The 27,037-nt window shown below is 37.2% G+C and overlaps 1 protein-coding gene across 26 annotated transcripts in view; it reads left to right on the top strand.

Moving 5' to 3' along the window:
• Positions 1 to 25,576, top strand: part of G3BP2 (G3BP stress granule assembly factor 2) — an 81,652-nt gene extending 56,076 nt beyond the window's left edge. For 10 of the 26 annotated variants that reach the window (NM_001400004.1, NM_001400007.1, NM_001400005.1 and 7 more), the window contains 11 exons: positions 6,313 to 6,431; positions 9,438 to 9,519; positions 10,632 to 10,805; positions 11,348 to 11,438; positions 12,492 to 12,594; positions 13,116 to 13,296; positions 14,281 to 14,379; positions 19,621 to 19,723; positions 21,205 to 21,333; positions 21,906 to 22,024; positions 22,660 to 25,576. In NM_001400004.1, the coding sequence (NP_001386933.1) occupies positions 6,337 to 6,431; positions 9,438 to 9,519; positions 10,632 to 10,805; positions 11,348 to 11,438; positions 12,492 to 12,594; positions 13,116 to 13,296; positions 14,281 to 14,379; positions 19,621 to 19,723; positions 21,205 to 21,333; positions 21,906 to 22,024; positions 22,660 to 22,932 (1,449 nt within the window). In that variant the 5' untranslated portion in view covers positions 6,313 to 6,336 and the 3' untranslated portion in view covers positions 22,933 to 25,576. Of the gene's footprint in view, positions 1 to 6,288; positions 6,432 to 9,437; positions 9,520 to 10,631; positions 10,806 to 11,347; positions 11,439 to 12,491; positions 12,595 to 13,115; positions 13,297 to 14,280; positions 14,380 to 19,620; positions 19,724 to 21,204; positions 21,334 to 21,905; positions 22,025 to 22,659 lie in introns of all 26 variants that reach the window. The other 16 variants (NM_001400017.1, NM_001400014.1, NM_001400016.1 and 13 more) reach the window with 7 other exon arrangements.
• The last annotated feature ends 1,461 nt before the right edge of the window (positions 25,577 to 27,037 follow it).

The following is a 27,037-nucleotide window of genomic DNA, read 5'->3' as shown; positions in this document are numbered from 1 at the left end:
TTAAATGGTAAACAAAAAACCTAAATGTTTCTTACCTAAAAGGTGACGTTTTAGTCAAAGTTTGAGGAAAGGAGAGTGATAACTTTGGTTTTTACGTTATTTTGAAACTGAGGAAATATAAGTTCATTGTAGGATAATGAAGCTCAATGTGACTTTCTTTTCTAATCTGCATGTATGTCTACCAATGCTCCACTCCCTCTCAGTGTGTATTATCTACCAATACTCCACTCTCTCTCAATGTGTATAATTAATAGATTCAGAAAATATGGTGACAAATATAGAGCAATTTTCCGTGAGAGCTGAAGTGCATGTGCTTCAGGAATTAGGCAAATGCAGAGGAAACATTTTAAGAAACAGGAATGAATAAAATATTCTGATGAAGATTCACTGGGATTTTAGGTGCGATAGGCAGAGTTGGAGAGTAAAAAGCCTCTAAACTATACTGGATAATGTTTTCGGTTTTTTGTTTTTTGAGACAGAGTTTCGCTCTTGTTGCCCAGGCTGAAGTGCAAGGGTGTGATCTCAGCTTACTGCAACCTTTGCCTCTGAGTTCAAGCAATTCTGCTGCCTTAGCCTCCTGAGTAGCTGGGACTATAGGCGCGTACCACCAGGCCTGGCTAATTTTTTGTATTTTTAGTAGAGACGGGCTTTCACTGTGTTAGCCAGGATGGTCTCGATCTCCTGACCTTGTGATCCTCCTGCCATTGCCTCCCAAAGTGCTGGGAAGTAGGCATGAGCCACTGCGCCTGGCCTTGGATAATGTTTTCATTTGACAAGTAAAAGACGGATTTGTTCATGAGAGAGCTTTGACTGTGTATAGAGCTAATGTATCAGATAAAATTTTACACTGTGCATTCCTGTGTGAGATTCTTCACATTTTCAGGTGTCATTGGAAGAAGTGGAGTGTGATATATTGTATTTAACTTTTTCTAAAAAGGTTGTTAGGTGAGGCTAACAACCACCTTATTGAAGATGGTAGTTATCTTTGAAGGTGCTAATCTAAGAACTTTCTAAAGATTTCTTTTTGTGTATAAGTATCCTTTAATCTTGGCTATCTTTTTTTTTTTTTTTTTAAACAGTGTCTCACTCCTGTTACCCAGGTTTGAGTGCGGTGGTGCCATCTTGGCTCGCTGCAGCCTTGACTTCCCGGGCTCAGGCATTCCTCCCACCTCAGCTTCCCGAGTAGCTGGAGCTACGCTTGCACACTACCACGCCCCGCTAATTTTTTGTATTTTTTAGTAGAGACGGGGTTTTGCCATGTTGCCTGGGCTGGTCTCAAACACCTGAGCTCAAGCGATTCACCCACTTTGGCCTCCCAAAATATTGGGATTACAGGTGTGAGCCACTGCACCAGGCCTTCTTGGCTATCTTTGTAGAACTGTATAGTCTTGTAGGCTTGACCGGGGATTTCTTCTCAATTTGTAAACTAGGAAATCGAGATCCAGTAAGGTCATGAGTTTTTCATGGCCATGGATAAGATAGTTGAAACCTTTTACTCCCATATTCAGAATTTTGTTTCGTTTTGTTAACTTTTTTTAAGAAATGGAAGGTCCCAGATCTAGAAATGGATTACCTGTAAGATGATTTGCTATGAATAATAAAAATGGCACAATTCTTTCTTCTTGTAATCACTTTTATTCTGAAAGTGTAATTTGGCTTTTTTCCTTTTTCTCAACCTTCTTACGTACACTGCATGAATTATAAATACGAACTTTATATTACTTACTCAATTTTCATAGTCTTATTTCCTGCAATACCCAAACCACGTTGTTTGATGGTTGATCTCTAGTAGTCATTTTCTGGTTGATTTCTATCAATTATATTTTGGCTCTCTAAATTCTGAGTCACTTCAAATCGGAGTTATGGTTAAAGAAGTAACTGATGTAATTAGTTGAAACACTGTTCTCTCAGTAAATCTTGATTTTGTTTTACCATTCCTTTGGGAGCCTCCTCTGCACCTTAAAAGCTCAGCTTTCTATATAACCTGTTATATGCCTGTTTAGATTTTACCAGATTAGCATTGCCTTACTTATTTACCATTTGAAGTTAACTTTTCAAGTTACTGCCTTCCAATAGTTCTAAGTATTAATTTATTGAGTATTGATTAATCAAATATTACTTCTACTGCCCTTCCCTGTCTCTCTGTTCTAAATTGATGGTATGTTGGCCATTATACTTCAGTGACCATGTAGATAGTGGGCAATTTGAAGCTTTTTTTGAACCTTGTTACAACAAATCTTTAGAGCATTTTGACCTGTGATATTATATATGTATTATGTACCATTTTATTTTGGTTTGAGAAACAAATATGTAAGTGACAAAAATGATAGATCAGTATGTACTCTATGAATATGATGGGAAATTTGGGATAAATGACAACAGTGTTCCTGTAGAAAATCTGGAAATCCAGAGAGAAGAAAACAATTCCCAAACCCGGAAATTCCTAATAGTATTTCTGTCACTATCAATTTAAAGAAAACTATTTTGTGTATAGTTATTTTGTTCAGAGAGTAATGTAGTATTTTCCCATGTGTTAGTATTATTTTACCATCAGTTTTTATGGTGTTAAAATACATATAATTTCCATGTTTTAGTTATCTTGTTAAATTTTACCAGGTAAGTCTACTGTTCTTTACCCACCCTCATTATTCAAAATAAAAATGTTAGTTGCTTAGCTGTGTGTGTGTGTGTGTGTGTGTGTGTGTTTGTTTGTGTGTTTGTGTGTGTGTGTGTGTTTGTGTGTTTGTGACTACAGGTGTGCACCACCATGTCTGGCTAATTTTAGATGGGGTTTTGCCTTGTTGCCCAGGCTGGTCTTCAGCTCCTAAGCTCAAGCAGTCTGCCCACTTCGACGTCCCAAAGTGCTGGGATTACAGGCGTGAGCCACAGCCCAGTGCTTTGTTACTTTAAATGTAGCATATGTGAGTCCTTTTTGCACTAGGGTTGTTACCCTTATTGGGAGTTTTAAGTTTTCTGGAAAATCAATGACACCTGAAATGGCAGTATTTGGATCTGCTCTTTGTGAATTAACTATTTTTGAAAGCAAGTGAGGCATTATAAAAAATTTTAAACAGATTTGGGGATTTTTGTAAATCAAGTTTGAGAGTTTAAGAAGGACAGTTAGAGGAGGGATAGTTTGTTGGAAAGGAAGAAACAAGGAACCTAAAAACATAATGTAGAAGTTGAATTGTGAGTCACTAGAATTATGTAAAGCTACACTCTATCTGTAAGCTCTACTATAGTTGGTATTTGATTTTTATTAAAAACAGCATCACAATTTTAATGACCTATGCAGGGCTGTCTCTGAAATTGTTTTAGTTATTTAAAGTAAACACACATGGAAATTGACTTTTTATTTTTAATTTTTTGTATAGAGATGGGGTCTCTCTGTTGGCCAGGCTGGTCTTGAACTCCTGGCCTCAAGCTTTCCTGCCACCTCCACCTCCCAAAGTGCTGGGATTACAGGCATGATCCACTGTGCCAGCCTGCAGTGTTTTTTTGTCTGTTTGTTTTGAGACAGAGTCTTACTCAGTTGCCCAGGCTGGAGTGCAGTGGTGTGATCGCGGCTCACTGCAACCTTTGTCCCCCAGGTTAAAGTGATTTTTTGTGCCTCAGTCTCCTGAGTAGCTGAGATTACAGGTGTGTGCCATCAGCTCTGCTAATTATTTGTATTTTTAGTAGAGATGGGGTTTCACCATCTTGGTCAGGCTGGTCTCGAACTCCTGATCTCAAATGATCCTCCCAGCTCAACCTGAAGTTTAAGCAGGACTTTATTTATTTATTGAGATGGAGCCTCACTCTGTTGTTGCCCAGGCTGCAGTGCAGAGGCATGATCTTGGCCCACTACAAACTCTGCCTCCTGGGATCAAGCGATTCTCCTGCCTCAGCTTCCCAAGTAGCTGGGACTACAGGCGCCAGCCACCACGCCTGGCAAATTTTTGTATTTTACTAGAGAAGGGGTTTTACCATTTTGGCCAGGCTGGTCTCGAACTCCTGACCTCAGGCGATCTGCCCACCTTGGCCTCCTGAAGTGCTGGGATTACAGGCGTCAGCCACCGCACCTGGCTAAGCAGGAATTTCAACTGCATCCTGATTTACCCAGTAGATACATGCTTAGGAATTATGATTTTTTTTTTTTAGTACTTTTAAGTTTAATAGGTCTTTTTAAAATAAAACAGGTGGCTGGGCACGGTGGCTCACGCCTGTAATCCCAGCACTTTGGGAGGCTGAGGCAGGTGGATCACGAGGTCAGGAGTTCAAGACCAGTCTGGCTAACATGGTGAAACCCCGTCTCTACTAATAATACAAAAATTAGCCAGGTGTGGTGACACGTGCCTGTAGTCCCAGCTACTCGGGAGGCTGAGGCAAGAGAATTGCTCTGCCGGGAGGCAGAGGTTGCAGTGAGCCAAGATCGTACCACTGGACTCCAGCCTGGGCAACAGAGCAAGACTCCATCTCAAAAATAAAATAGGTTATATTTCATATTTTTATTTTTTATTTTTTTGAGACGAGTCTCGCTCTGTCGCCCAGGCTGGAGTGCACTGGCGCGATCTTGGTTCACTGCAACCTCCGCCTCCCGGGTTCAAGCAATTCTCTGCCTCAGCCTCCGGAGTGGCTGGGATTACAGGCACCCACCACCACACCTGGCTAATTTTTTTATTTTTAGTAGAGATGGGGTTTCACCATCTTGGCCAGGCTGGTCTTGAACTCCTGCCCTTGTGATCCACCCGCCTTGCCTCCCAAAGTGCTGGGATTACAGGTGTGAGCCACCGTACCTGGCCCTGGGGATTATATTCCTACAGTAAATGATAAGTTTTGTTTGTGGCTCACACCTGAAGTGAGAGGATCACTTGAGGCCAGGAGTTCGAGACCAGTCAGGGCATTGTAGCCAGACCTCGTCTCTGCTAAAAATAAAAATTAAAAAATTTAAAAAAATTAGCCAGGTGCATGCTTATAGTCCCAGCCACTCAGGAGATTTAGCGGGGAGGATCGCTTGAGCCTGAGCCTGAGCCTGGCAGTTGAGGCTGCAGTGAGCCATGATTGCACCACTAAACTCCAGCCTAGGTGACAGAGCGAGACCCTGTCTCAGAAGACAAAAATAGGAAATTGTATTTATTTCATGTTAGTTGTTCTTGTTGGTTTTAACTTTGAGGCACATTATCATAGCACCTAACCCATTCTGTTAAGTTTCCAGTTTGCTTGTTTATATTTCTTGACAGACTATAAACTCCTTGAGGGCTAGAGACTTATCTTGTTCACTAGAGTATTTCATTTATTATAAACAGTATCTCATGTAGTTAGATGCTTAATTAGTGGAAAGAAAGAGAGACATAATATCAAAGGTAAAAAATGATTCTCTCTAAGTACTGAAGTTATAGCTGGTGATTAATCATTGTTACCATTTTGAAAATGGTGAAATTAATTCCCAGAAGGAAAGAGAATACAAAAACACAAGTCATGGTGCTTTGCCATGAGTGTTATCTCTGAGTCTTAACTTGGGCCCTCTGTCTTGCTTCCTAGGATAAAACCACTGGAATCCAGGAATGTAGTAGATTTTGGTCCCCAAAGGAAAAAGGCACTGTGAATAGAAGGACTTGTACGTAGTCTGAGGCAGCATTGGACCTCCTGGGGATAAGAAATTGAACAAAGATGCTATTTCCCTTTACCGAAGGGTAGGGAAATCAAGAAAGAGAGAGAAAGGGAGACACAAATGTTGGAGGTTACCTTATGGATAGTAGTAGTTAGGAATGTATTGTTTTGCTATTTGTTGTAAGTTGCTTTTTAATAGTGGCATTAATTTTGTTCCCATTTGTATGACTAAGAAAATTTATTTCAGGTTAGGCCGGGCACGGTGGCTCACGCCTGTAATCCCAGCACTTTGGGAGGCCGAGGCGGGCGGATCATCTGAGGTCAGGAGTTCGAGGCCAGCCTGACCAACATGGAGAAACCCCGTCTCTACTAAAAATACATAATTAGCCAGGTGTGGTGGCGTATGCCTGTAATCCCAGCTACTCGGGAGGCTGAGGCAGGAGAATCGCTTGAACCCGGGAGGCGGAGGTTGCAGTGAGCTGAGATTGCGCCATTGCACTCCAGCCTGGGCAAGGAGAGTGAAACTCCGTCTCAAAAAAAAAAAAAAAAAATTATTTCAGGTTAGTCTGATGGTAGTGGGTTATCAGAACTTATTAACATTAGTGTCACTAAAATTGGTATACAACTCCCCACTGCTAAATTTGGCTAAAAAGAAAATTTATTTCATGGTGGTTGATGACAAAGATGACTTTTTAATAGTTATTCTTGTGTTTGCTCCCTCAGCATTTGACATTGTGCAGCAAAGAAATGGTTATGGAGAAGCCCAGTCCGCTGCTTGTAGGGCGGGAGTTTGTGAGGCAATATTATACTTTGCTGAATAAAGCTCCGGAATATTTACACAGGTAAATTTTAAACAAATAATTTGGTATTTTTATCTACTTTTTTTCTTGGGTATGACTATATATATTTTGCATTTCCTGTCTCCTCATTATCTGACAGTATCTTTGTAAACATGTCTAAACTGTATTCAATATTTTATTCATTTGATGGCAAAAAGTGTTTTTAACTGCAACTCACAGTAATAAAAACATTTTATGTCATATTCTGGTACATAACACATTCATATCTATATATGCACACGCTTATTCTTATATGTACTCTAGTATTTTATTTTTAGAGTCATGGTCTCCTCTGTCACTCAGGGTGGAGTGCAGTGATATGATCATAGCCCACTGTGGCCTCAAACTTTTGGCCTCAAGCGATCTCCCAGCTTGCAGCTTGCATTCCCAAAGTACTGGGATTACAGGCATGAGCCACCAAGCCCGACCTTTATTTCATTAAAAAAAAAAAAAAACAAACTTTGGGGGCAGGTGCTGGAGAACTATATAAGGTTTACATGAGGCTGGACACAGTGGCTCTCTCACTCATGTAATCCCAACGCTTTGGGAGGCTGAGGCAGGTGGATCACTTGAGGGTCAGGAGTTTGAGACCAGCCTGGCCAACATGGTGAAGCCTCGTCTCTGCTAAAAATACAAAAATTAGCCGGGTGTGTGGCAGGCGCCTGTAGTTGTATCTACTTAGGAGGCTGAGTCAGGAGAATTGCTTGAATCTGGGAGGTGGAGGCTGCAGTGAGCGAGCATCGTGCCACTGCACTCCAGCCTGGGTGACAGAGTGAGGCTTCGTCTCAAAAGACCATATCTTGGGTTTGACCAACTAATGGGTTCCAATATGCAATTTGAAATCAACAGCTTAAATCTTTTTTTTAAAGTTCTCCCAAACAGTGTTGGGGGATGAATCAGTTAAATGATTATACTGTGAAAATTTGTATTTCTTCTAATCTGTAAAATAGTATTCCTTTGTAAAACAGCAGCAATAACCTTATTTACTGTTTTAACAAGAAGTGGACATCTGTAGGCTTGTTTTTTCCAGAGATTGAAGTGAAATTGATTTATATTATGTGTAGTATTTAATTTTTGTTCTTCTTGGTGTATCTTAGCAAGTAGAAGATAGGTGAAACTCTTACAAGAATTAGACTTTGTAAGTATTGCAGAACACACTGGCCAGATGGGTTAAGGATAAATATATTGCCACTTACTGTGAGAAAGGCTGTTTAAAAGACTTAAATTCCTTTATCTGTAGGTCATCTTAATTAGCATTTTAGTAGCAATTTGTCTTGCTCTGTTGAACATACGTGTAATCTGTCTTACTTGAGGCATTTTTATATTTACTGTTTGCTTGGCTCTATTTGTAATTACTTTACGTATGTATATTATGTATTCCTTATGACAGTCTTAAAGTGAAGTTACTTTTATTAGCTCTCTACCTATTAGACAGTTGAGGTTAGTAATTCATCTAGGATCACTCAGTAAGTAAACAAGCTAACCATAGCCAGTATTCAGGCCCAGTTTTGAGTAGTGTCCCCAACCATTCTATTAGAATGTAGTATATATATAAAGTGTAACTAACATGTATCTTCCCCTCAAATAAATGCAAAATGAATAACTGCATGTCATTCTCTAATTGTAAAAATAAAGATTTTTTTATGACAATGTATGTGAGGGAGTTTGGGGGAAGATAAATAATTAATAGGGCCTTTTGATATCTGAAATTTGGTCTTTTCATGATACAGGGTTTTTTGTTTTCTTTAGTGACCAAGAACAAATTTTAAAACAATAAGGCCCTACACCATCATGTTTAAACAGTAACTGACTTCTGTTTTAGACCTAGCTTATTTGACCAATTTCTTTCTTAATGAAAATTCAGGTTGTTATAATTTTCCACTTGTGGTAAGCAACACTAATGAATATCCTGAAACATGCATTATTTGTGCACGTTGCTAGTTAGTTATTTTCTTAAGATACTTTCCTGGAAGAATTAATGCATCAAAGAGATGATCATTCTGAGGCTTTTCATGTGTATACACACACAGCCAAACTGTTCTGTAGAAAACATTGCCAGTAGTACATGAGAGAAAATAGTTTAATGATAAGAGTAGTGGTTAAAAGCATGGACTCTCAAGTTAGACTGACTAGGTTCTTATCTTGGGTGCCCCACTTGATAGGTATATTACCTTAGGGGAGTTAATTTAACCTCTTCTGAACCTCAGCTTGTTTATTTAGATAATAGCACTTCATGAGATTGTTAAGAAAGTTAAGTGAATCAGTACACATAATACACTAAAAACATTGCTTAGCATAAAGGAAGCTCTTACATGTTTTATTACTATAGGAGTTGTGTTTTCATTGTGAAAAAATTAGCTTCACATCTTTGAGCTTAATTTAGAAAGATGTTAATTCTAATTGCTTTGGATAATGCCAATAAAAGACTAATTTACACATACTTAAGAACAGTACAAAAATATTAAAAAGAAATTAGATGCTGGCGTAATTTTGGATTTTAGACTTGGTCTCTGAATTATTTCAGTTATTTTAAATCTAAACAGTTTAAGCCTTTAGAGTTAGTAATCATTTGGAGATCTGGATACAGTATTAAACTCTGATTCCCAAACAAATCTAGGTAGCTGAGTCTTTGTATCTGAAGAAAAAAACAGGGTCAATTACTATAGCATCTGTATTTAGAATGTACTAAATCATCAAAAATATCCGATTTTTCCACTTAACAAAAAATAGATGTGAATATCTAATGATTGTCTACTTACTGTGCCAGATAAACTAAGCATTCTATGTGCATTAGTCATTTAATCCTTACAACAACCATATGGAGTAGTTCCTGTTCCTGTTTTATAACCAAGGAAGCTGAACTTGAAGACCTTAAGTAACTTACCTGTCCAAGATCACGCAACTAATTAGTGACAGAGCGGGATCCGGAACCTAGTCTATGACACCAGAATTCTGCTTCTTAGGCTTCTCTTGACAATTCAGTGTTAATCATTAATTATGGTTTTGCAGGTTTTATGGCAGGAATTCTTCCTATGTTCATGGTGGAGTAGATGCTAGTGGAAAGCCCCAGGAAGCTGTTTATGGCCAAAATGTAAGTATCAATTTCATATGTAGTTTAGAAATTTTGTGTTAAGATGGAGATTTTAAAAAATAGCCTTCTTGTGTCCATGGCTTTTTTTTTCTTTCTTTCTTTCTCTTTTTTTTTTGAGACGGAGTTTTGCTCTTGTTGCCCAGGCTGGAGTGCAGTGGTGCGATCTCAGCTCACCACAACCTCCGCCTCCCAGGTTCAAGCAGTTCTCCTGCCTCAGCCTCCCAAGTAGCTGAGATTACAGGCATGCACCACCACACCCGGCTAATTTTGTATTTTTAGTAGAGACGGGGTTTCTCTATGTTGAGGCTGGTCTCGAACTCCCAACCTCAGGTGATCTGCCCGCCTCAGCCTCCCAAAGTGCTGGGATTACAGCCGTGAGCCACCGCGCCCGGCCGGCTTTTTTTTTTTTTCCCCAATATGATTGTTATTGGTAACTGAAATTTATGTTTGACAGTAATTGTCAGCATAAATTGTCAATAGTTGTTCAGTTTGACAATAATTGTCAAACATGCTTGAGTTCTTAAACATCATTTTTGTATGAAACATGGTGTTATATTACGATGGCTACAAAGGAGAAAATGGTATGTTTTATATCATTGATGTATTTTATACATGAGATAGTTGAGACAGTGTATTAAGTTTATACAAATCTGAGCTAAACCCTATGCTATAGGAATGCACAGAAATGTATGTTTCCTATGGCCTAACAGGGAAGGAAGACTTTGTGTAGAGGATGTGAGACCACAAGATTTGGCCTTACCAAATAAGGAATTATAAGTAGACAAAAAATAGCATCAGCAAACACACAGTAAAATTATGTGTAAGTTCAAGGAGCCGTCAACACAATTTGTGAGAATGACCAAATACTTACTACAGAAAAGTGGGAGAAAGCTGTATAAAGCCCAGATTACTGCACAATATTGGAGAGCTATTGTGATTTCTTCTTTAGGAACATCATTCTGGCAGTGATGCACAGCATGGTCGTTGGATTCAGTTCAGGAAGATTAGTTAATATTGCAGAGTTGTAAGGAAATCAATGAGGGTAGGTAATATTATTGTGTAGGTAATGCAGTATCACAGAGTTTATATTTTTCCCTCCCTCCCTAATAAAGGATATACACCACAAAGTATTATCTCTGAACTTCAGTGAATGTCATACTAAAATTCGTCATGTGGATGCTCATGCAACCTTGAGTGATGGAGTAGTTGTCCAGGTCATGGGTTTGCTGTCTAACAGTGGACAACCAGAAAGAAAGTTTATGCAAACCTTTGTTCTGGCTCCTGAAGTAAGTTTCTCAATTCACTTAGTTTTCATTTATATGGTTGCTAGTTGGTTGAAGTGTCCAGAGGTTTCTTCTAATAGGTTTAGATTTGCATATTGTTATTTTTGGGGAATTTGTGTTTGACCTGTTGTTTGAGTGAGTGCGTGTGTGTACATGTGCTTTGACTATTTGGAATTAAAAATCAAATACTGATACAAGTTTGTAAATAGATGATTAAGATTACATTAATACAAAAAATATATTGGTATATTTGAAAGGTTACATTTGAAAACAAAATAGAAGAGTTCTTTTGGTTTCTTTTCTATTAAATAGCTGTTTCTTGAGTTCTACTAGGTTGGTGCAAAAGTAATTGCGAGTTTTGCTATTATGTTTTTTTGAGTGACCTTTTTATTTTATATAAACATCATAGCATGTTCAGCATTGGAAAATTATATTGAGTCAAGATCTCTAGTATTAAAATGAGAAATTGTGTATGCCATGTAATTTGCTCTTTTATATAATACCAGATTTCTGGATATTTATGGAATAAATGTTGTTTCCTATAGGGATCTGTTCCAAATAAATTTTATGTTCACAATGATATGTTTCGTTATGAAGATGAAGTGTTTGGTGATTCTGAGCCTGAACTTGATGAAGGTGAGGTTACTTTGAAGATATGAAGATAGAAGGGTTCTGTTGGTACTCTTTATGGACTAATTTCTATAAGTATGACATCTACGGAAATTTGCTGCTTTATTGTAACTGTGTCAAACATCCTTTTTTCATGGTTTTGTTGTTGTTGTCGTTGTTACAAAAAGATGTCCATTGTTTGAAAATATACAAAATTTGGATGTCAAGGAAAAAGGTTCCCCTCAGTCTCATCCTCTGTAGATAACCAAGTTTGGTGCCTATTGGAGAAGGTTTTTGGATTCTATACTTGGCAACATGTATTTTTATAAATGTGGAATTACACTGACTCAAAGCTTCCTTTTTTTTAATGTAATAATATGTCTTTGTTGGCTGTCTATGTTGTGGCTATGCCGTAATTATTTAATTGATCTTCCATTGATGTACAGTGGTTAGTTTCTTTATCATTATTGCTCTATTAAATATATGTTACAAAGGAAGCTAAATTGTGGCTTTAATATAACTTTTTTCCTTTTACTGAAAGATTTGTTTTTTTCTAATAGAGTACAATAAATATTAAACTTCATCCTTGCTCTCCAGTTTTTGAGAGAACAGGGGATATTGTAGTTGAATGCCTTTGTTATTAAAAAAAAAAAAATTGGAGCCGAGCGCGGTGGCTCATGCCCGGAATCCCAGTGTTTTGGGAGGCCAGGGCGGGTGGATCACTTGAGGCCAGGAGTTCGGGACCAGCCTGGCCAATGCAGTGAAAACCCCATCTCTACTTAAAAAAAAAAAATTAGCTGGGCATGATGGTGCATACCTATAACCCCAGCTACTCAAGAGGCTGAGGCAGGAGAATCGTTTGAACCCAGAAGGCGGAGGTTGCAGTGAGCCAAGATCACACCACTGCACTCCAGCCTGGGCAACAGAACAAGACTCCATCTCAAAAAAAAAAAAAAAGGAAAGAAAATTGTCAAATTTTCTTTTTTGCTATCATACCACTTCCTTAAACATGTTAAAAATATGTCCGTTAGAAATTGTGAAGCCTCTTTAAAAAAGATGTGCTGTATTATGTATTTTCAGAATCAGAAGATGAAGTAGAAGAGGAACAAGAAGAAAGACAACCATCTCCTGAACCTGTGCAAGAAAATGCTAACAGTGGTTACTATGAAGCTCACCCTGTGACGTAAGCATACTATTTGCAAGGTTAAATTTGGTCTGAACTATGTCAGCAAGGTGGTTTCTGTTCCTAGAATTATTGTTGAAAGTAAATTCTTGATAAAACCACCTATTATGTCAGTATTTGAGTACCTATTGTGTATATGCAAGAAATTTGGAAAGAATGGTTTTATTTAATACAAAAATTGAACATGGCTTGCACCAAAACAGTGGTTCCTTACTGATAATGTAGAGTGTTGAAGACAACACAGAGTAAGCATTTTATTTTTATAAAAGATAAGGTTTATAGTTAGCACTAAAGTAAACATTCTTAGTAATTCAGTTTTGAAATGGTGGGATTAAAGAACTGCTACTTGAGAGTATTATTCCTTCTGTCTTATAGCTCTTTTTGGAATTTTGCTTTGAATACTTTGTAGATCTAGAACAAGTTATTGGCATATAACTAGTTACACCCATTGGATTAGAGAGAAATTGAATTTTTTCTTACTTGAACTCCTACTAAAAAGTGAACTAAATATTTTATTGTAGTAATGGCATAGAGGAGCCTTTGGAAGAATCCTCTCATGAACCTGAACCTGAGCCAGAATCTGAAACAAAGACTGAAGAGCTGAAACCACAAGTGGAGGAGAAGAACTTAGAAGAACTAGAGGAGAAATCTACTACTCCTCCTCCGGCAGAACCTGTTTCTCTGCCACAAGAACCACCAAAGGTTAGATCAAAGAACTCTTTAGACTTACAACATCACATGTTCAAATTTGGTGCTGTTAATGAAGTATGACCTTTTTCTATTATGTTAAATTGTTTAGTAAATTATTTTATGTATATGAAAGAAGCTGTGGGGTTTGTTTGTTACCTGAGAAAATGTTATTGTTTCCCTGCCCCGCAAAATACCCCTCTAAGAGTGAAACTTATAACTTAAGATGAATCCTTGTCTGTATGCATTGTTTAGTAACTTATATGAAATTATTTGGATCCATGTATAGAGCTGTCAGTTGTTCTTTCATTCTGTATTAAATTCTCTGAGCACAGATGCACCAGGAATCATGCAGTTTCCCAACTTAAACAAGTTGGTCTATAATTAAAAGAAGAGATACCTGTTGTTTGTGGTTTAAATGGGATCAGTTTCCTTTCTACACCAATTAAACTATCTTGGAAAGATGAGTGACATCCTTAGTGTATCATGTAAGCCTACCTGAAACTTCTTTTATCTTTCTTCAAAGTCAAAGGTTAAAGTATATTTGAGTGGTGATAGGAGGAGATTCTTTGTTCAATTTGTGAATGTCAGAGTTTCCAGCTAATACTCTCTTCTTTCCTATCCTTCCCTCTCCCGTTAACACCATCACACACCCTATCTTACCCCCAAAGGGGAAATAAATTGTTTCTATTAGGTTCAGGTTTTTCTAGCATGTTTGTTAGTGGTTTTGTTTGCCACTTGCTCATCTACTTAGAGTACGTAGGAACTTGCTTATGGTTTTACTTAGTAGTCAGACAAAAGTTATAAATAAGCTTGCATAATGAGATTTTGAAAGCTGGCACATAGACTGGCATGTGTGTGTGTGCCTTTCTTTTAGGAGTCTTCCAATATAGAGCAATAGTTTAGAAATGAAAAGAAAATATATATTTGGAAGTTTCCCTATAGGAATGTTGGTGGTTTTCCATGATTAGTAGTCTAGGTTTGTTGCATTTCCTGCAGGCTTTCTCCTGGGCTTCAGTGACCAGTAAAAACCTGCCTCCTAGTGGTACTGTTTCTTCCTCTGGAATTCCACCCCATGTTAAAGCACCAGTCTCACAGGTAACCAATCTGTGAACACATTGGATTGTATCCTTGTTACATTGCCAATTGCTTATTTTTAAAATACTTTTAAAAATGAGTCAATCAGAAATTATGGATTAAATATACAAAAAACTTGTATTATATGTCAGTGCACCCACTTTAAATGTCAAATCTCCATTCATCATCTACATAGGTGGTATTTGGGGTTTGGGTGTGTGAAATACAGATTAAGTTGGTTTTTACCAGTATATAATATTGTCATTTAAAAGGCTTCTTAAAATAACAAAAAGAATGTTCCTTTTTCAAAAGCTTCAAATTCTATTTAGCAAAAATATTTTAGGTAAGAAATTCGGAGAGGCACAAAGTAGTGTGGCGTAATAAAGAATCGTTTTTGTTTTTTTTTTTTTTTTTAAAGCAAAAAAAAAAAAAACCAGGAAACTTTTTAACATACGCTGCCTAAGCTCTCAGTGTGTAAGTGGTTCACACCACTTAATTGAAGCCTGTACCAACTTATGACTGTAGTGTTCACCTTAACTGATCATTCTAGTATTCTGCTTTTTGTCTGTTTGTCATCTTACCCATTTCAGAGCTTTCAAAAATGTGAAAATAAGACACTGCCTACCTAAGAAGTTTGTTAGATTTAGTTTAGAATGAACTAAATTCTAATTAAGTTTATCAGCATATAAAGGGTGTCCAATTTTTTCCCTACATTTTGCATTAAACTTCATTCCACTAGAAAATTTATGTTTGAAATGTTAGTATATAAATGTATCTTTTATATGTTCTAAGCAGTGAAATTTTGAGGTTTTAAAAGTAGTAATTTTTAGTTTTTTGGTGTTGGGACACATAATCAGCTACATAAAAGTAGAATACGCCCGTGATACTTTTTTTTTTTTTTCATTTGGGTATTCAGGCAATGCGTGGTTACCCTTATGTAAGATGGTCACCCAGAGTTCCATCTTAACAAAGGAAATTAGTTTGTGCAGTATTGTTTTGTGCTTTTCTACCCATATGAAGACCCAATAAATAACTTTTGGCCCTTCTTTTGGAATCTTCATTTCCTATCAGATTTGGATTTGGAACCTTTGGATTATTTCATTTCAGAGAGTTTAAACAGTTAAAAGTTAAAATAGCTAGTGCTTATGCCTTTGATATGCGCCAAGCATTGTGTGAAGCACTTTTTGTTCATTTTCAGTGAATCCTCACAACCACCCTGTCAGGGTGGGTACTATTGTTTCTGTTTTAGAGATCAAAAAATTGAGGTCTAGAGTAACTCACAGACATTTATGTACATAGTAGGGTTGGGCTTTGAAGTCATGCAGTGGGACATGAGTCCATATGTGGCTCATGTAAACGTTTATTTTTTTGAGACAGAGTCTCGCTCTGTCGCCCAGGCTGGAGTGCAGTGGTAGTGGCAGTGGCGTTATCTTAGCTCACTGCAACCTCCACCTCCCCAGCTCAAGTGATTCTCCTGCCTCAGCCTCCCGAATAGCTGGGATTGTAGGTGCCCGCCACCACGCCTGGCTAATTTTTGTATATTTAGTAGAGACGGGGTTTCACCATGTAGACCAGGCTGGTCTCAAACTCCTGACCCAAGTGATCCACCCGCATTGGCCTCCCAAACGGTGGGGATTACAGGCATGAGCCACTGCGCCCAGCCTCATGTAAACCTTATGCAATTCTCCAGCACCTTGCTGCAGAGTCATGTATCTTATCTGTATTTGCATCAAAGAGGACTCTTAAGACATGCCTGATTAAATCCTAGTCTCTTGCCCAGAAAAATACCTTCATATTTATCTCAAGTAGTTTGCCTTAAATATATTTTCAAAGTTAGTTGTAGGAAATGAAGTTGTATTTCCTATGCCACCCCTTTAATAAAACAAAAATTTTAAATGTTTAGAATTTAAACTTTAAAAGAACGTTCTAATGTCTTTAGGCTATACTTAAAATGGATTCATGATATTTCTACTTGATTTAATAATCCTTCAATTTTAGTTTGTTACTTTTGTGTAGTATTCATTTCCTTGTACTTTGAACATAGATTATTGATAAAAGGAAGTTAATTCCAGGGTATTGGTAGGCATTAACTTAGAAGTAGGTAAGTTAATTTCTTGAATAAAATATTTTGTCTGGAAATTGACTAGTTCACCTACAAAGCTTATGTTTAATTGAAGGGCTTATTATTTGTGGTTATACCTGCTTTTATTGACTTGATTTGATGGTTCTGTACTTACTTCATATTCTGTTTGACCTTCATTTGTGGGTTTGTCATTTGATCATACTTTCTGGTTGCATGGAATTAATTTTAAGGCCCTCTACTGTGTGGCATATTGGCCATGTTATCTGTTCAGAAAAACTAGTTTTAATCATGAAACTGGAGACCTGAAGAATTATAAGTATGCAGCTGACTTAGTTAACATATGTCAATCAGTTACTGAAAGGGACAGTGTTAGCTTTTTGTTCTTGTATTTTTCTTAAACTGGCATCATCAGATATCTACTTAAAGTCAGATTCCTAAATCAATGGCATGAATTATTTGTAAGATGTTGGAAATTATTAATATTTAACTTTATCTGTTTTTAATTTTCATCCTTAAAGAATAAGGAAGAACTTTATTTTGCTACTTGTAGTTACTCGTGTTTTGATAATCTGTTTTGAAAAGAATTTAAATCAGTCAAGACCAGGGCCTCAAGTTCTTTGATAACATTTGGATTGAATGAGTCTAAGGTTTTTCTTAAATTTTGTAATAAAGGTGCATTTAGTGTTTTTATTAATTGCCAGTAATACACTCACTTTATTAAACTTTGACAGAGTACGTTTATTCTCTAATTCTGTTTATATTCATACTGAAGTATGCCTTTAGACCCCCTTAGTTGAAGTTTCTAAATAACTGCCTTTTTCAGCATCACATTTTGCATCAAATTATTATATAGAATTAAACCCCAAATACAGATAGCGGTGGTCTCAGGGCTGTCACTTACGTATCTTTGTCAGACATAGAACATTATCCTGCATGTTTTGGGTCAGAGAACTAAAAATGTAATTTAATTTAAATGAACAAATAGTTACTGAACATCTGTGTCTAATAGCACTGTGCTTGGTTCTTTGGGTGATGTAAAAGTAAGTTAAGATATGGGCCTTGGGCACTGGCGTGCCTGTAGTCTCAGCTGCTTGGGAGGCTGAGGCAGGAGGATCACTTGAGCCTAGGAATTTGAGGTTACAGTGAGCTATGATTGTGCCACTGCACTCCAGCCTGGGCAATAGAGTAAGACTGTGTCTCTCTAAAAAAATAAAAGATACAGACTTTATAGGAGTAAATACATATAAATAACAACAAAACCTGGAGAGAGTTAAAAATATTCATTTTATAACTAGTAGAATTCTAGAATATGGTAAGCAACTTCATCTTGAGGGAAATAGGACATTGACATAGAGGAAAACAGAATTTAGGAAGAGGCAGGCAAACTTGGTTAAACTGTTAGCATAGGAGTTAATATTCCTTTTGGTTACAGTGGCTGAAATCATTTACATTAAATTGTCATTTTTGAAAGAAGCTTTTTTTTTTTTTTTTTTTGAGATGGAGTTTCTCTCTTGTTGCCCAGGCTGGAGTACAATGATCTGCTCACGCAACCTCCGCCTCCCAGGTTCAAGTGATTCTCCTGCCTCAGCCTCCCTAGTAGCTGGGATTACAGGCATGTGCCACCACACCCGGCTGATTTTGTATTTTTAGTAGAGACAGGGTTTCTCCATGTTAGTCAGGCTGGTCTCGAACTCCCGACCTCAGGTGATCTGCCCGCCTCGGCCTCCCAAAGTGCTGGGGTGATAGGCATGAGCTACTGTGCCTGGCTGAAGGAAGCATTTTTGTGTCAGAATTTGTCCTTGTAAATTACAATATCTGTTATATAAATGATTAAAGAGTTTGAGCCGCTGCATGGACTGAGGTCCTCAGAGATGACCACTTTTTTATTTATTTACTTATTTATTTCTGTGAGAAGGAGTTTCACTCTTGTTGCCCAGGCTGGAGTGCAGTGGCGTGATCTTGGCTCACTGCAACCTCCGTCTTCCGGGTTCAAGCGATTCTCCTGCCTCAGCCTCCCAAGTAGCTGGGGTTACAGGTGCCTGCCACCACACCCAGCTAATTTTTTGTATTTTTAGTAGAGACTGGGTTTCGCCATATTGGGCAGGCTGGTCTCAAACTCCTGACCTCAGGTGATCCGCGCAGCTTGGCCTCCCAAAGTGCTGGGATTACATGGAGATGACCATCTTTAAAGATGGGACTGAAATTACTAGCTTTCTGAGTTGAGGACATGTTCTCCATATCCTGTTGGGTGTTTTCAGCATCCTTTGTAGGCTCATATATTTGTCTCTCCTTGGACCATAAATATTTGGGTAGTAGAAGGTCTGAAGAGGTTGGGAATACTGAAAATGCTGTTGTCTTGAGGAAAAGGTAATAGCAGACGCCGATGTAATTTTGTTTTAAAAATAATTATATGTTTAATTCAGCAGTTGGCAGAAACTTTTGGGAGGCATCTTAAACTGTCCTATTACTCCCAGACCCCTAGTTAAGGAAAATCGTTGGGACCAATACTTCAAATGCATATTTTTCTCATAAGGAAGAACAGTAGGGAGCTAAAGGACTTTAACTATTTGAGATGCTACATACAAGTTCCTATAAGTTTCTGTCATTTTTTTAACATGCATTTTAACCTTACAGGTAGCAATTTCAGGTGTTAGAGCAAGCTAATTTTTATACTTTGAACTATAAAAATACTGATTTTAAGGTTATGGGCAGAGATTTAGGCAATACTACTGAGCACTGTTACATTTGAAGGATAGCAAATTAGATTTTCAGAAATTATGTGTTATGTATTCTTGTCTAAGATGAAGATGGCTTTTAATTTTGTTTATGTATTTACATGGAGTGGTTCATCTTGCATTTTTGTGATTTTTTTTTTTGGTAGCAATACCTTTTATGCTATTTCAGTGTTGATATAACTTTAATGAAAAAATGTGACTGTAAAAAGCAACTTATTGTGAGTTACACAGCATTAAGTGGGAAAACAAAAGCTACCTACAGTCCTAGATTGGTACAGAATATCTTGATAAAAATTTATTTTTCTCATACATAGGACACTATGTTAAAAACATTCTAAACTTAAAACTACTGTTATGTCTGCTAGTGACTTGTCGTTAGGTGCTTTGGTTGGTTTTTCTCCAGTGGAGTGTTTTTTATAATGTTTTTTTTTCTTTATATTTTAGCCAAGAGTCGAAGCTAAACCAGAAGTTCAATCTCAGCCACCTCGTGTGCGTGAACAACGACCTAGAGAACGACCTGGTTTTCCTCCTAGAGGACCAAGACCAGGTGAGTCAGCTCCTTTATAGCCTTTAGCATTTAACATTTGTAAGGCTGTAAAAGACTGAACTTAAACAAAAAACTATGATGCGTTCTATACACAGACCCATATAGTCTCAAATTGCTTAAAGATGTGATGTGAGCAACCTGCTAAATAGTGTCTGGGGCCAAATAACCAATTTTTAGGGAGGATTGGTTGACATGCCATGGTGACATATTTTGAAGGTGTAAAAGACTTAAGTCTTATTTGGTTATTGTCACGGTTTTTTGTTTTTTTTTTTTGTTTGTTTGTTTTTTTTTTGAGACGGAGTCTTGCTCTGTCGCCAGGCTGGAGTACAATGGCGTGATCTCAGCTCACTGCAACCTCTGTCTCCCGGGTTCAAATGATTCCCTTGCCTCAGCCTCCCAAGTAGCTGGGATTACAGGCACACGCCACCAGGCCCAGCTAATTTTCTGTATTTTAGTAGAGACAGGGTTTCACCATGTTGGCCAAGATGGTCTCGATCTGCTGACCTCATGATCTGCCCTACTCGTCCTCCCAAAGTGCTGGGATTACAGGCATGAGCCACTGTGCCCGGCCTAGTCACTGGTTTTAAGAGTTCAAAACCAAGCTGCCAATAACCTACTCTCTTAGCAGTCTTATCTCTTTACAGATAAACAATAAGCCCATTTTGATTCTTAGGTATTAAGTAAGTTGCCATGATTTTTGACTTGTTTACCTTGTTAGCTACACATGTAATACTTTTATTTGAACTCTGTAAGAATGTTTAGATTGCTTTGGGGAGGAGATGGGAGAGATGGAGATAGTATATATCACATTTACAATGTGAATTTTTAAAGTGATATGTTACCAAACTAGAAGTCCTAAATTTGTCAGTGATTAAACTTGGGATCTTGAGTGAAACCCTTAAATTCTGAGCTTCTTTTATGTCAAATATTACACAAATTATTCTTGTATTGCCTATTTTCCTCACTGTGTTCCTTGTGTTATTGGGAGAATCAAATAAGATTTTATGTATATCTATATACATACACACTTAATATGTATAGACTGCATAAATGTGATGATTGCTGTTAAAATTTACTGATTGCTGTAATGTCATAAAGCCAAAGAATTTTGAATTTCAAAAAACTAAGCAAATATTTAGTAAGCTATACCTCACTATCTGAAATCTGCTTGGTTCCTGGGTGATGGCAACAGTTTGGTTAAGGAGGAATACCTGTAGTACTAATATTTGATTTTTGTATAATCCAGTAGATCTAGAAGAAGCTATTTTAGCAACCTAGTCATTGTCCTCACTTTACATTTTAGTGTCATGCTGTTTTCTAACCTACTAGTAATAAGTACTTTTGCCTCTTTTTCAAGAAGCTCACCTAGTCTTATTAAACTAAAACAGGAATATCAATATTAAGTGATTTTTACATTCACTCCTTTGAAGTAGTTTTTATGATATTGTAAACTTTAGTATCTGCTCTATTTCTATTCTCAGGCAGAGGAGATATGGAACAGAATGACTCTGACAACCGTAGAATAATTCGCTATCCAGATAGTCATCAACTTTTTGTTGGTAACTTGCCACATGATATTGATGAAAATGAGCTAAAGGAATTCTTCATGAGTAAGTGATTTATTTTGCTGTTGGAGTTTTTAAATTATTTTAAATTAAGCAAGAGGCATATGGAGCTTTTTTAATAACTATTTTTTTTAAATGTTTCTCTCTTTATACTGTGTCCAGCTACCAGACCCACCTTAATTGTGCAGAAGGGAGTAGATGACTTATCTCACATGTTTCTCAGTGACTGCTTAGTGTTGATTTGGCCTGGCTCAGTAGTGTTTAGAAGAAACAGCTGGATAAATCAGTCATAAATTCAGAGATAAAGGATTCATTTGGCAAATGGGTCAATATATTAGGAGAAAATACATTGTCTTTCCAAAATTATGCAGTTAACTTTACTTATGAAAGGACTACCAAAGATGCAGAAAGGTAACACAGCAGGCGGGCAGGCTACTTGGTATCTTAGGGGATTGCCTGCTTGAGTAAACGTACCTTGGCTATCACTGTGTGTAGAAGCTTGCGAGTTTTATTTTAAAATGGATCGGGGAGATAACGATATTCATCCTGAACAATTAGAGCCATCAAGGTATTCTGTTAAAAATATTTAACCCTTGATGTAATGTATATTTTCACAGGTTTTGGAAACGTTGTGGAACTTCGCATCAATACCAAGGGTGTTGGGGGAAAGCTTCCAAATTTTGGTTTTGTGGTTTTTGATGACTCTGAACCAGTTCAGAGAATCTTAATTGCAAAAGTAAGTGATTTAAAGGGCATAATTCAAGACTTTATTATTTCTGTTGTATATATTAATTTGGGGTATTTAAAAACCATAGAAAATCTTTTAATAATAAAGCTAAAAATAGTTATTAAATGGTATTTATGCAAAGAATAAAGATTTGTTAGTTTGCAGATCATTTTAAATTTTGTTACTTGCTTTGCTGAAGAAGGTGGGAAAGATTGCAAGATTGCATGTTAAGAATTTTGGCTGGGTATAGTGGCTCACACTTGTAATCCCAGCACTTTGGGAAGTTAAGGCAGAAGGATTGCTTGAGCCCAGGAGAGTTCAAGACCAGCCTGGGCAACAGTGAGACATTGTCTCTACAAAAAAAGAAAAATAGCCGGCCATGGTGGTAGACACCTATAATCCCAGCTACTCAGGAGGCTGAGGTGGGAGTATCACTTGAGCCCAGGATGTCAAGGCTGCAGTGAGCCATGCTTGTGCCACTGGCTGTCACCAGCCTGGGTGACAGCTGAGACCCTATCTCTGGGGGGTGGGGGGCTGATAAAAGTGTTTTATTCCTTATGCTTATCTGACTGACCTGTTCAGAGTAATCATTTCTATTGCTGTCTAACCTGCCCATGTAAATATTTTTCTTCTCTTTTATAAAGCCGATTATGTTTCGAGGGGAAGTACGTTTAAATGTGGAAGAGAAAAAAACAAGAGCTGCAAGAGAGCGAGAAACCAGAGGTGGTGGTGATGATCGCAGGGATATTAGGCGCAATGATCGAGGTCCCGGTGGTCCACGTGGAATTGTGGGTGGTGGAATGATGCGTGATCGTGATGGAAGAGGACCTCCTCCAAGGGGTGGCATGGCACAGAAACTTGGCTCTGGAAGAGGAACCGGGCAAATGGAGGGCCGCTTCACAGGACAGCGTCGCTGAAGCTCCACTGTTGGCAAAGTCTTGGCAGTGGTACATTATTCATCGTGTTTGCATTCTTGTTAATTTTTTTTTTGGCTTTGGAATGTGACACAGCCTTTTTGATCATTTCTTTGATGTGAAAAGCATCTTTGGTTATCAGTTAAATTGAGGTGGACATTATTTCCCCAATTTCACAACAGGATTCACATTGTTAATTTATAAATCTAGACTTGGAGAATTAAGGACTGAGAAATGACCATATCTTAAACTATCTACGACAAAGTGAACTTAAAAGGACATGCCCACTGAATTCAGGTCCTTTGAGTAAAAAAAAAATCTTCTGCTGCACATTTTGTTTAAGTGTTACTGTTTCTGCCTGTTAATGCTGGGAACACAAATAGTGCAATTTGTGCAATTGGAGAATCTTGCCTTTTTTCTTGGCTCCCCCCAAAAATACAAACCAACAGAAACTTGTTATGCACTCATCAAAATGTACTAATGGGTACTCTGAACTCATTAACATTGACATCTGCAACAGGAGGCAACAGGGAAAAAATCTCATCTTCTTTTCCAGTAGAAAATAGTTTGTGAAATGATGAGGGCATTTTATCTGCTTGCTGTGACCAGCGTGTGTACACATAAACCTTAACAAGACTACAAGTATATTCCAGAAGGAAATCATTTTAGTTATGAACTAAATAATAAAAATTAGAACTTCAAATGCGATGGTCTTGACTATTAGACCAGATTTAGTAGCTCCATATCTAAGATTTTTCTACCTGCCCCTCTTCAGTACAGGGATGGCTGGCTGCTCAACACACTCCTCCTCCCCTTTTTTCCTTTCTTTAAGCTGTGTACAGTGAAAATTGTCTTTACTGTATTTTTGTTCTCTGGTAATGTAATAAGCATGATGGTGCCTTCTATTAATACATCATTCCAGTCTTGCTGGTAATTTTGTACAGTATAGTGTATGAATTGCTGTGCTGCAAAGCCAAACAGCTGCAAAATGTTGAAAAATCATCGAAATGTATAAAAATTGCAGTATCTTTAAAATCAGTAAAATGGACTAGCATATTATTTATCTTGTTCTTCAGTTAACAACTTTGTGTTCTCTGTGGGAGGGAGGGAGTCCTGTGTGTTTGTGGGGAGAGGGAAGGAGGAAGTCAGTTATTTGAGTAAGCCTCTAGTTGACTTTTCTCTTAGCCTGAATGTGGACGTTGAAACATATCACTTCAGGGCTTGGAAAAGTCAGTCAACTTGACGTACATTTTTAGTGACATTTTAAAAGCAGTCAGATTCTATAAATGGCAAGTAAGCCTGAAGTGAGGATACTGCAATTTTCGGAGAAAAGAACAGCAGCTCTTTAAGTGTTTGCATTTTCTATTTGGGGGGCAGGGAACTGTCATTCATTTTGCACAATTCTTGAACTGATGTCAGCACCCGAGTGGCTCCTGAATTTAAGTCTGGGACGACATCTTTTATTTTTACATGAATCTTTAAACAATTCTGTGAGCAAAGTTTGTAGCTGCTGGATTATTGTCTGTCTTTATAGCAAGTTCCAGTAAACCACAAGTATGGCAAAGCTTATCCAATTTTATGCTTGGAGCAGTCAGTACATACCAGTTTCTGATGTTTCAGGCAGGAGTGGGGTAAATAAGTGTGACCACTTAAAGCTGCTCGTTAGCATGGAAGACTTCTCCATTCTATCTTTGTAAAACAGACAAGATATGCACTTGACATAGTAGCAAATTGGTTCTGAATTATGCAACTGTTTGCTATTTAGTAAACTAGCAAATGATGCATGTATTTTGTTTTTCATGTACTGGGCAATATGAGTAAAATCTGTCCCTTTTTCCCCCTTTGAATGAGGTCTTCCATGTTTGAGGGAAAGTCTTGCACTATTGCATATATTTTGGGGACACAGATTTTCATAGTTTCCATTTTTGGGGGGCTTAAGGATTTTTTTTTTTTCTGTTTGAAACAGTTTTATACTTTCTGATATAGTACTTGAAATTCTTACCAGAAAATTACTTTGGAGTTTTGAAGCCTTTATTAATACTACTTTTAAAGAAGCAGTTGTTTTATTGTCAATGTTTTTTTTCCCCCAAGCATATTTTCTTGTATTTCTGTTTCCATATATATATATATATATATAATTTCCAATTCAGGATATTGCCCTGCCATCCATGAAAACTGTTCTGGCACCAAAAGTAATGACAAATGTTAAGTGTAATAATAGAAAAGTAGAGCAAAGAGCCATTCAGCTTCAGTCTTTACATACCATGAATAAAACATTAAAACATCATATGGAGAAGTTTACATGGTGATTGTTCACCTGCAGTACTGTGGAGTTTTAACATTTTGTCCTCTTTTCAGTGAAACAGAGTAAAAATATTCATCTACCATTACTGTTATTTGCTGATTTTGTTTTATTTTTTGATGGTAATATTCTATCCTTATGACACTATTGCAACCAAATTGGCTTTACCATCTTGGCTTTAGTAGGTATAGAAGACAATGGATTACCATCTTTATTGCTGTAATGTGTTAAGCATTATATGCTAGTAGAATCTAGTTTAATTGTTTCAGGTGGAAAGTATTCTTTGAGTTTCCATATTGAATGTGTTTGGACTAAACAAACAATAAACTACTGATGTCTGCAGCATTTATCTATGTCCCTAATTTAATCTATAGTTTTTATTGTTCCCAAATGTTTTCTCCCAGTTGCATTTCATACAAACTAAGTGGGAATAATAAGCAGTTGGGTTTTAAAACAATTTATTTGTGAAATTTGATACGTATAAAAAAAGTAAAACATTTAAGTAACACTTGACCATTGTAAGAGATCTATTCCGTCCAGTTAGACTGCTGGTATACAGGTTGAATGTTAGAATAATAAGTAGTAAGAATGATGAGAATGATCTAAAGCAGATTACAACCTTGGATTTTCTAAAGTATTTTCTGCCTTGCATCTCACAAGAAAGGAGAAGGGAAGGGATGAGAAGATTGAGGTTACCTGAAGTTAATGGACATGACTCAAGTTCAGAAATTGGAACTAATTTATCAAGCTCTCCAAAAATATTGATGTAACCATTAGCCATATTTAGTCATGCTTTCAATGAAAAATGAGGTCCTAAGGCATGTGTAATTTCAGAACTTGAACCTTTTCCTTCCTAAAAGGGGATGATATAGTTGAATTTTACCTGCTATTAATAACACTCTAAGATTTCTAAATCAGTCTTCACAAACTTGTACTGGGGAGAAACCAGAATAACCATTGCTTCATCTTAGGGGGGAAGGAAGACTTAAACCTTTTGTAAACTGACTTCTAATTATAATGTAATTTATCCAACTCTGGCAATGGAAAAACATTTTTTAAAGGGGATAAAATGTATATCTCACACTGTTGAAAATAGGTTCAAATTTAAAAGAGCAAATTATTACTTGGTCCCGGGAATTTATATGAACAACGTATTTGAAAACCTTAGCCACTCAAGAGGTTGAGTTGCTCATCATAACTTATATTTTAGCTACAGATCAATAGAGACCCTTGATTTTTTTTAATTTTGTGTTTATAAGACTTCCTAGTTAGAAGACTGTTTTGATCAGTTTGATGCCAGTGCTCTTTATTTATTTACAATTACTGGATAAACAAGTCACGAAAGAAATTTGTGATTTAAATATGTTCACATAGAAAATAATTTGCAACATTATCAGTTCCTAAATAATGAAGTTTCTGGCAGTTTTTGATAAGGAATAAAATCTTTTAATCTATGTAGTACCTGTACACATTATGTTTCATATGCTTCGGAAATATAAGAAGTTTAGAATTTACGAAATTTTTCAAAAGTCTTTTTAGCATTATCAAATATTGGGCAAAATACTGTAAGTGCAGATTCAGAATTAAGTAATAACAGAAACATTACTAGCTTTCTGTTAATGGCCAAATTAACTGATCTTTGTCTTTGACCTCTAAAGTTTTTTTTTTTTTTTTTTTTTTGAGATGGAGTGTTGCTCTGTCGCCCAGGCTGGAGTGCAGTGGCGCGATCTCAACTCACTGCAACCTCCACCTCCCAGGTTCAAGCAATTCTCCTGCCTCAGCCTCCCAAGTAGCTGGGACTACAGG

The sequence above is a fragment of the Homo sapiens genome, chromosome 4 (genome assembly GCF_000001405.40).
Source record: "Homo sapiens chromosome 4, GRCh38.p14 Primary Assembly".
In the NCBI taxonomy this organism is placed as follows: domain Eukaryota; kingdom Metazoa; phylum Chordata; class Mammalia; order Primates; family Hominidae; genus Homo; species Homo sapiens.
This window is presented reverse-complemented; position numbering and strand designations above follow the sequence as displayed.